The 11,186-nt window shown below is 33.4% G+C and overlaps 1 protein-coding gene and 1 pseudogene across 1 annotated transcript; both read right to left on the bottom strand.

Moving 5' to 3' along the window:
• Positions 1-1,624: 1,624 nt before the first annotated feature.
• OR4F5 (olfactory receptor family 4 subfamily F member 5) lies at positions 1,625-7,791 on the bottom strand. Its single transcript, NM_001005484.2, has 3 exons — positions 7,777-7,791; positions 7,637-7,690; positions 1,625-4,173 (listed from the first exon to the last, which is right to left on the bottom strand). The coding sequence occupies exons 2-3, from the start codon at positions 7,643-7,645 to the stop codon at positions 3,202-3,204; spliced, it is 981 nt and encodes a 326-aa protein (NP_001005484.2). The 5' UTR covers positions 7,646-7,690; positions 7,777-7,791; the 3' UTR covers positions 1,625-3,201.
• Positions 9,325-10,194, bottom strand: OR4G11P (olfactory receptor family 4 subfamily G member 11 pseudogene; annotated as a pseudogene).

Here is an 11,186-nt window from a genome sequence, read left to right as displayed (position 1 = left end):
GATGAGAAAAACAGACACCACAGAGTAGCAGAGGGAGGATGGAGGAAGAGGGGAAAGAGTTGAAAAACTACATATTGGGTATTATTCTTGCTACCTGGGAGGTGGAATCATTTGTACTCCAAACCTTAGTATCATGCAATATACCTTTGTCTCAAACCTGCACATGTACCCTCTGAACCTATAATGAAATTAGAAAGAAAACCCCAAATATGGTCATTGTAGTCCAGAAGCTAAGATGTGGTATAACTGAATGGTTTATCAATTAGGAATGGATGTAAAAGTAACAATCTCTGTTCTTGATTTTAAGACCAGGTCTATGTGCCACATTTTATCTAGTCTAACATTGACGGGCATTTGGGTTGGTTCCAAGTCTTCCCTATTGTGAATAGTGCTGCAATAAACATACCTGTGCATGTGTCTTTGTAGTAGAATGACTTACAATCGTTTGGGTATATACCCAGTAATGGGATTGCTGGGTCAAATGGTATTTCTAGTTTTAGATCCTTGAGGAAACACCACACTGTCTTCCACAATGGTTGAACTAATGTACGCTCCCACCAACAGTGTAAAAGCATTCCTATTTCTCCACATCCTCTCCAGCATCTATTGTTTCCTGACTTTTTAATGATTGCCATTCTAACTGGTGTGAGATGGCATCTCATTGTGGTTTTGATTTGCATTTCTTGCAGCCATAAAAAAGAATGAGTTCATGTCCTTTGCAGGGACATGGATGAAGCTGGAAACCATCATTCTCCGCAAACTAACACAAGAACAGAAAACCAAACACCGCATGTTCTCACTCATAAATGGGAGTTGACCAATGAGAACATATGGGCACAGGGAAGGGAATATCACACACCAGGGCCTGTCGGGAGGTGGGAGGCAAGGAGAGGGATAACGTTAGGAGAAATACCTAATGTAGATGGTGAGTTGATGGGTGCAGCAAACAACCATGGCAGGTGTATACCTGTGTAACAAACCTGTACATTCTGCACATGTATCCCAGAACTTAAAGTATTAAAAAAGACCAGGCCTAATTCAGATAATATGTATGTATGTATGTATGTATATATGTGTGTATATATATATACACATATACACACATATATGTATATATATAAAAGAGTAACATATTTTACTACATAGATTCCAAACTTTTCTGCCTGCCTCCTTCCCAGGGGAGGGATGCCCATAACTTCTGGTCAAATTTCAGGAGAAATTCTGAATATACTGGTTTCTCCCATGGCGTTGTACACATTAATGCCCTTAGCAGTTAAATGAATTATGAATAAATTAGGGGTAAATTTTACAAATAAATGAAAAATAAAAGTTTTCTGCCTACAACTGTAAAAAAAAAAAAAAAGACTGATTCTCCTTATGTATGAACTGTAAGTTTAACTGTTTTGCCCATTTTCCTATTAATATTTTGGGTTTTGTTTTAGAAGTTCCCTATGTGTTAGAAGTACTAGTCTATTATGTGAGTTACAAGTAGTTTCTTCTCACTTTTAAATTTTCTCATAGTTTTATTACGCATTAAAAATTAATTTGATAGTCAATGTTATCCATCTTTACCATATTCATAGATTATAAAAACATTAACTTGTTTTCTTTTAATATTTGCATAGTTTTTTTGAAAAAAGAGTTATGTCTTGAATTCACTTAGAGATTGTCCTGGCATTTGGTGTAGCAAATAAATTAAATATATCTTTTCCCATATTGCTATCCAATTATCCCACCATCACATTAGTAGGCCTTTCCCCCCTGCACTGATTTGAGATACTGTCATTATTATTTACTACTTTTATTATGTGTTTTTAATCTGCTTATAAATTTTCTATTCTACTTTTCCTAAGATAAACATAATTTTGACCCTCTTATCATCTGACTCTCCTTATCTATTAATTCAAGTCACATTTTGACAAACTAGATTCCTTTTTTCTTAGAATATTTAGTGTTCAATTTTATTCTGGCTCAGTGATTCTCCCTGGAAAGAGAAGATATTTGTCAGAATCATTTGTTAAGGTTTTTTTTTTTCAATTTATATTTTCCTTCTATCTTAAATTTTCATCATGCCTTTCTAGGGTGGTAAGGTGGAAGTATATGAGTACACACTTGCACACAAATATACACACTTCCACTCACAAGTACAGTATCCCAAATGAGCATCTGTTAAGATTGGGATGTGTCATATTTCACAAGAATGTTGGGAAAAAGTAAAGTTTGAAACTTTTGGCTTTGTTAATATATAGGATTTTAATAGTATCTAATGTTTATTCATGCTTAATATGTCTCGAAGTGGGCTATTTGATTTATATCTATTTTGTCATTTTCCTTCATAATAACCATGCATAATAGGTATAATCTCCTGTTTATAAATGTAGAAACTAAAGCTCATGAAAGCTACGTAATGTGCCCAAAATCATGATTAATAAGAGTCAGTAGAGTTGAATCCAGCTCTTTGTTTTTTACTTTAAAGCCTGTGCTTTTAAACATTAACCATGGAAAATGACATAGATGGATCCAAGTAATATACTTTGTGCCAACGTGATGAGAGCCTGGATCCCTCTAAATTCTTTCTACTGCTTATGAGCAGTTATACCACAGACGTCTAGGACCTAGAAGGCACATTTCACATTGGCAAACTTACTCTTCCACTCACTCCTGATAATGCCCTCATGGATTCTGGGTTGTTATAGTGGTGGGAGGTGAAGTATAAACTTATAATGGGAGGCGTTTGTTTTTCAACCTCTTAAAAGTTGACATATATCTCCTTACCACTAAGCATATATTTTTTAAATTAAGATGTGACAGTTCTTTTTTTATGTTTTTCACAAAATGGACCAAATAAATTTTTTTTTAAATTTATAAGCTAGGCTATATTTTCTCTCCTTTCTTCTACTAAACTTAGGGTCACACAGGAAGGAACAGGTGTACACAAATACTAATATATTTATGCCTTTCTTTGTTCTAAGAATTAGCAAAAGAATATTTTGAAAGCATAATAACTTTGTATCTGTATTCCAAAATATAACACACAAGTTGTTGAAAGATAAATTGAGGCAATGTATGTGGAAGTTCCTAGACAATTACTAAATTATATGGGAATGGAGGGCACAATTTTCATGAGCTTTACTAAATAACTTACCAACTTCACTATATTTTGTGTCATTATCTGAGATTAATCTCACAGTTATATAAGATCTAAAACTTTACACTAGAATGTGCATCCCATTTTCTCAGCTGTCTTATTGCCGTCTTCATGTCTTTGTTCCTCAGTGTGTATATAATTGGGTTCAAGAGAGGGGTGATCACAGAATAAAATACAGCAAGGAATTTATCTAATGACTTGATGGGGAATGGCCAGGCATAAATAAAGACACATGGTCCAAAGAACAAAAGAACTACTGTAATGTGAGCAGTCAAAGTGGACAGAGCTTTGGACGACTTATCTAAAGGGCGATGCTGGATGGTCATTAGGATGATAGTGTATGAGATGATTAGAAGAACAAAAGAACACACAGTGAGCACACCACTGTTAGCAATGACCATAATATCTAGCCTGTAGGTATCTGTACAGGCAAGTTTGATTACCCTAGGAAGGTCACAATAAAAACTATCGACCTCATTGGGACCACAGAAGAGTAAGTGCACGGCAAACGCCAACTGGCTCACCGAATGGAGAAAGCCAATTCCCCATGTGACAGCCATAATGCCGACACATGCGTTGCCACACATAATTGTAGTGTAGTGTAGGGGCTTGCATATTGCTATATATCTGTCAAAGCCCATGGCTATGAGGATCACCATCTCACTCCCACCAAAGAAGTGAAGGAGAAATATCTGAACAAGGCAGCCCTTGAAAGAGATGACTTTGCGCTGGCTGAAAAAGTCAGTAATCATCTTGGGGGCTGTGACTGAAGACAGAGACAGATCAATGAGTGAGAGGTTGGCTAGCAGGAAGTACATGGGAGAGTGAAGGTGGGAGTCAGATACCACTGTTATGACAATAAGAAGGTTTCCAAACACGATTCCTCCATAGAATACAAAAAACAACATAAATAGGAAGGTCTGGAGTTCCTGAGAATCAGAGAGACCCAGAAAAATGAATTCAGTCACCATAGAGTTATTCGTTTCACTCGTTGATTCATTCCAGGAAATAGCCTCTGCAGTTACCTTGAAGAAGAGAAGGAGAAGGAAGTCAGAATTATTATATTCAAATTCAAAGCCTCATTTTATATCATTCTGCTCACTCTTACAGTGACTTTCTATAATCTATTACTTAAAGACATTCAGAATTCAACAAGATCATAATTCTATCTCGCACTACTTCCCTGGCTATGCCTTATAATTCAGTTATCTCGGCTTCTCAGTGTCTCCATTAATGTTAGGTTTATTCCTAATATAAAATACCATTATTTATGCTTGTCTCTCTGCCAGATTAAGTCTATGCCATAACTCTATGTTTATCTCCTTTTTCTTTGAACTACAAAACAGTTTGTAGCACACATGTTATTTGGTGATATTAAAGTTCTTAAGAGAAAAAAATAGGCCAAAATGAAATGAAAGATAAAAAATAGAAAAAAAGAAAAAATAATATCACAAATATAATACTTAAAAATTAACAGAGGATAAAAGAATAGGGAATTCAAAAGTGAAGTGAGAAAAAGTGAGGAAAATGCAATAAAGTTTAAATGAGAGAAAGTGTGAAGGACTTTCATAGGAGATAAAACTGGTAAGAGATTTTGGAATGCTTTCTAAAGCATTTCTGTTTTATTATAGAGACAAGAACTACTGAAAAATTTTGAATGATTGTTTAATTTAGCTCTGGACTCAATGTGAATTGGAAGGGAGGGAGCTTGGAAATGAAGCCAAGTAATTATTTTAAGCCTAACAATAGGTAATAGCTGCAGGTTGTGGTTGTGTGAGCAGGAAAGGGGTGAATGAAGACCTGTAAGATCCCATCGAGCAACGTATTAAAGTAGTTAAGATATGAGCTTGTGTGCTAGGAGGCCTGTGTTCAAATCCTGGGTTATCTACTATGTATCTGAATGACCTTAGACAAGTCACCTAAGTGATTTCAGTCTTACGGCCACATCTGGAAAATATAGGTGATAATAGCACAACTTTATAGAAGTTCTGTGAGGATTGGATACGACCAGGTATATAAATTTTCTAGCAAATAGTAATGGTCAATATATAATAGCCATTATTAAGGTACTGATAACAAAATATTTTTTGGCAAGATGTGGAAAATAAAAAAAATGTTATTCCAATGTCTTTAAGTAATTGGGAACATTGTGATGGCTTTAACTCTGATAATAATTATAACAAGCACTAGTATAACAATACTTTACATAGAGATCCCTTTTAGGAGCAGAAATAAATACAGAAAAAGGTAAAGGATAATGATGACTGTCTAGACACAAGGAGGTATTGTTGGGGCATCTTTGTAAGTTGCTATCTGCCAGGTGAGAGACTGAACACTGACTTCTGGGCATGAGTTGAGAGCCATTTCAATTGTGTATGGAGGAGAGAAAATAAGTACTGTTTCAAGAAGTTTTGCAGTGAAGAGAAGTAACAAATAAAAGGTGTCCTGAAAGTGAGACATAGCCATATTAACAATCTTTGGATTAGGTATAAGAGTTAATGGGCAAGTAAGATGTAAAAGAGAGAAGTGGAAATTGATCACTAACATTCCACGGGAGACATGAAGGTATAGAGTTTACACTTGCCATCTTTTTTGGAGGAATACTGTTATTTGATTTTTGCTGTTTTTTAAAGAACAGTAATTCATAGTGCTTGGAAATTCCACTTTTCTCTTTACTACTCTGAATCCCATTTCTTAGTCCTACACACTCAAAGCAGCACATTACTGTTTTTAAAGTCCTATAAAAATTTAGTGATCTTAAATATTTTTAAGAATAAAGAGAAGTCTAATAGTGGAATAAATCATGAACATTCACTTCATTTCTCTTCTGCTTAGCACGGTAATAAATATAATCATACTAATCATTGACAGTACAAACGATAGGATTTTTATTGTGAGATAATTTCTGTCCTGACTGGTTGGTTGGACTGTTTCTTTTGAATCAAAGTGTGCAATTTAGAATAGACCTTAAATATGCATTGACATAAAATTAATTCATTTCATTGATAGGCAAGGACAATCTTGAAGTTATATCTTCACATGAAATATGCCAAGGATGAGGTTGACCCGAGGGTTCTCATCTGTAGCAAAAGACTTTCTATCATGGCTGTTAGTAAGAATTCAGGAATGCTATTCTTTAGCAAAAGGAATTTCTTGCTAACGTAGTTAAGACATCTCTCTCCTGAATTTGTGCTGCTGAGGGGATCCTTCACCACCATAATTCTTTCAAAGCTCATTTCTGACTTTTTAAAAATTATTCAAAAAAAATTAGAAGAATTGTATTTATTCTAAGTTGAACATTAAGTTTAGGCTTATTAAAGGAGTCCTTCAGAATCTTACACACTCATTGTAGCAACCATGAAGAGCCAGCCACTGTTGACAGGTAAAATCTTTCATGCCATAGATTATTCTTGGAATTCAACCATTAGAATTATATATAATATATATATTTATATAATATATAAATATATTTATATAATATATATTATACATATTTTATATAATAATATATGTTATATATAAATATAATATATATTATATAATATATATTATATAATAAAATATATATTATATTCTATAAATATATAATATATATTATATAATAAAATATATATTATATAATATAATATATATTTATATAATAAAATATATTATATTATATAATATATATTATATTATATAATTTATATATTATATTTATATAATATATATTATATTATATAATAAAATATATATTATATTTATATAATTTATATTATATTTATATTATATATTATATAATATAATTTATATTATATTTATATTATATATTATATAATATAATATATATTATATAATATATATTATATATATAATATGTAATATATATAAATATATAGTATATATAATATATATATATATAAATGCCTTATGTCCTTATAGTAAGTCTCAGTGAGATGGGAGTAGGCATTTGGGTTCTGGCACAAATTCACAGTGTGATCATGGGAATATCATTTAAAAATCTCTGGGCCTTAGCTTTCCTGTTTTTAAAATGAGTTTATTCTTTCAAAAGCTGTAAAAATCCTCACAACTCTAGCAGTATGATTTGTACCTTTATGTGAAAGAAATGCTCCAAACCAAGTTTCACTGGTATTATAAAAAGGAGGGAAGGAGGTGGGTAAGAAAACACCGGACCTGGGGAAAGATGGGGAAAAGGACTATTAAATGGGGAGAAAAGAACAAATTAGCCCAGAAGAGTGAGGAGGAGGACTCGACAATTGTTGCCAGCATAATACTTATAACAAGGGTTATTCTTGCTAACATTATTCATATTAATTTCTCTAAGTATTTAAGTTAACCATACAGAATCCTTTCATTTTTCCAGAAGGTAAACACAAAATGGAATTATGCAGAATAGATTCCTACTAATAGAACCATCTCATTGTCAATAAAATGCTACAATTTCATTCATTCTTCTAATATATGTGTTTTGTCTTTGTTTCCACCTACCTTCTTCATAACTGGAAGAGACTACAGCAATTTTCACAGAATGAGGCATAAAAACTGTAAGAGAATAATATGTAGTGAATTGTCCTTTTTAGTAAACCACTTGGTTAATTAAAAGCCCTTTATGAATGGACTAGATGTACCTGAAGAGATCTGGGAATAGCCAGTCTGAGCTTTGTGTACTGAGACTAACTTTTATAGTCTCACAAGTTTTCCCTTGGCCATTAGAGAAAACACACAGAATTTTCCTGAGTGAGAGGACATTGCCACAATTTTTTGGCCTATTTGGATATTTTTGCTATCTCACTGAGTCTAAAGGTGCTTTTTAAAGAATCACAGCAAAACAAATATAATAAAGTTACAAAATTAAAATCCAGATAGGTTAACAAGAGAGTAAGTAATAATGCTTCGATTTTATAAAAAGAGGAATGCTTAGAACTTTTATGACCAACTTGCGGAGAAAATATAGAAAAATTGCTTTAACCAATAAAAAACCTCACTTCTTGTAACTTATTTTATTTTGCATCTTTAATTACCATGCAGTAGTTAAAAGTGAGCTGAGTGAGTCACCACAATTTATGTTTCTTAAAATAGTCATAGGAATACATCCAAGTGATGTCTCAGTTGTGTTCCTTGACCACCAAACTTACCAGGTTTTACCTGAAAGATGTCAATCGCCTTCTTTGTCCTAAGCACCTTAAGTTAAGCACAGGCACATTAAATGTGCTTTTAAGATCTCAATGGGGTCTCTTCTCCAGGAAATAAATCTCTTCCTATACTTTTAGGTTGTAGATGCTTTTTAAGAGTGACTCGAGAAATGCTTTGAAGAAGATTTCAAGGGCAATAGGATTGTGTTGTTAAAAAAGTGTAACATAGACAAATTTTGCATAATACAGAGTACTAGAGTCTATTTTTTTTTATTATACTTTAAGTTCTAGGGTACATGTGCACAATGTGCAGGTTAGTTACATATGTATACATGTGCCATGTGGGTGTGCTGCACCCATTAACTCGTCATTTAACACTAGTTATATCTCCTAATGCTATCCCTCCCCCTTCCCCCCACCCCACAACAGGCCCCGGTGTGTGATGTTCCCCTTCCTGTGTCCATGTGTTCTCATTGTTCAATTCCCACCTATAAGTGAGAACATTGTACAAAACATATTGACAATCAGCCTGAAAATAATACTTAAGGGTTGTAACAAGCTGTTGACCTTACCATTTATCTAACTTAAAGTACAATTAAAATAAAAATTGTTTCTTCCTTGATTTTGGCATTTACTAATTTATATAAACTCATATTTTATCCATTGGATCCACATAATTTCCATAAGAAAATTAATTTCCAGTGATGCTTATTATCAGCATAAAAATACTGATAAATAAACCTAGGTCATATATATGTGTATGTGCTTATATACAGATATAAAATAACTACATCAAAATTAAAGGTAGTCATTGCTGTTAATTAGATACACACATTAGATAGAAATATATACTTTTTATGATTAACAAAAAATGTTGCAACTTTATCTGAAATACAATTCTTAGATTTAATGCATCCTTTTTGCAGATTTTTCAGTTTTTTCAGGCAATACTAAAAATGTGCGCGTTCCATAGTGATCATGGTGATCACAGGAGTCTTGATGGTCCATGGCATTTATCCTGTGCTCTCATCAACCAAATGTGTTATGTCGTCTCCATAGAATTTAAAATATGTTGATTCAGCCTTCTCATTGCAAACTTCATATCTTTGTTCCTTAAAGTATAGATGGCAGGATTTACGACAGGGGTGACAACAAAGTTCATGATGGCAAAAAATTTATCCAATGACTTAGTAGGGAAAGGCCACACGTAGAGAAACATGCATGGAGCAAAAAACAAAACCACTACGGTGATGTGAGCCGACGAAGTGAAGAATGCTTTGGATAAATCATTTGAGGAATGTCGTTGGACAGTGACCAGAATAAAAATGTATGATACAATTAAGAAAAAGAAGGTGCCCATCGATATGAATCCACTGTTGGCAGTGACCACAAATTCTAGCCCATAAGTGTCCATGCATGCAAGTTTAATAACCCGAGGAAAATCACAATAAAAGCTCCCCACATTATTAGGGCCACAGAAGGGTAAATTTATGACAAAAACAAACTGAGACATAGCATGAATCACCCCAATGACCCAAGCTGCTGCTACCAAAAACATGCACATTTTGGGATTCATAATAGTTGGATAGTGGAGAGGCTTGCAGATCGCAGTGTACCTATCATATGCCATGACTATCAGCAGCACCATTTCAACTCCTCCCATAACATGGATAAAGAACTTTTGTATCATGCAATTATGGAAGGAAATAACTTTACAATCAGTAAAAAGATCGTAGATCAACCTAGGAACTGTGGTAGATGAAAGGCTCAAGTCAATGAGCGATAGGTTGGCCAGCAGAATATACATGGGGGAGTGTAAGTGAGGATCAAAGATCACTGTGAACACAATGAAGAGTTTTCCCAGGATAATTCCCACATAGAATAAAGAGAAGAAGAGAAAAAGGAAAAACTGCATTTCCAAGGATTGTGCAAGTCCAAGTAATACAAATTCTGTTACCAGAGAGTCATTTACTTGGTCCACTGAATCAGATAGAAGGGAAGACTCTGAAGCAACCTGAAAGAAACGAAGGAATCAACTTAGTGTGACTGAAAATAATGCGTTAAGTGTTAATGATTTAAAATTTATTATTAACAAATCTTTTATTTGATAGTAGATTATTTAAAAACTAGTGGGAACCCAGGGTATAAAAGGTTAATGTAATATGGACAAAGCTGTGCTCAGAGGCAGTCTATTGCTTTAAATGTTCTCAATTGCTCAAATACATGAACTTATTAGCATCTTAAGAAACTGGAAAAGAATGCATAAAAACTCAAAAAATTCAAGCCAAAAAAGGTAAAAAACAAAAATAAGGAAATATGAAATCCCAGAAAATGGCAAGATTGTATACCAACATATACAAATAAATGGTTTAAAAAATACAGAATCTTTAAAAATGCAATCAATAATAACATTAAATAAAAATTAGAATACAAATGCATAATTACGGTTAAGGCATCTCTGAAAGCTGTTTCCTACATGTGCCTATAATGATCTACCCCAAACCAACACGTGAATCATACTTGAATTTGAAATGCTGTAGAGACAAAAGGTTGATATCTTCATAGTATAAAAAAGAATTTAAACAGTTTCACAAAATCTCCAAGACCTAATAAATGAACAAATGAAATGAAGAATTAAAATGTAAGCTATACGTGTATTTGTATATACAGATATGTGTGTGTGTGTGTGTATGTGTGTCTTAGAAATCAAAGAAATATGATAAAATATAATACTATTATTTTTCTGTTAAATTAGGAAAAAGTTTTACAGGCCGGGCATGGTTGTTCACGCCTGTTATCCCAGCACTTTGGGAGGCCGAGGAGGGTGGATCACGAGGTCAAGAGATCGAGACCATCCTGTCCAACATGGGGAAACTCCATCTCTACTAAAAATAACAAAAATTAGC

Source organism: Homo sapiens, chromosome 1 (genome assembly GCF_000001405.40).
Source record: "Homo sapiens chromosome 1, GRCh38.p14 Primary Assembly".
NCBI lineage: Eukaryota > Metazoa > Chordata > Mammalia > Primates > Hominidae > Homo > Homo sapiens.
Note: the sequence above shows the minus strand (reverse complement) of the source record. Positions and strands in the feature narration are given on the sequence as shown.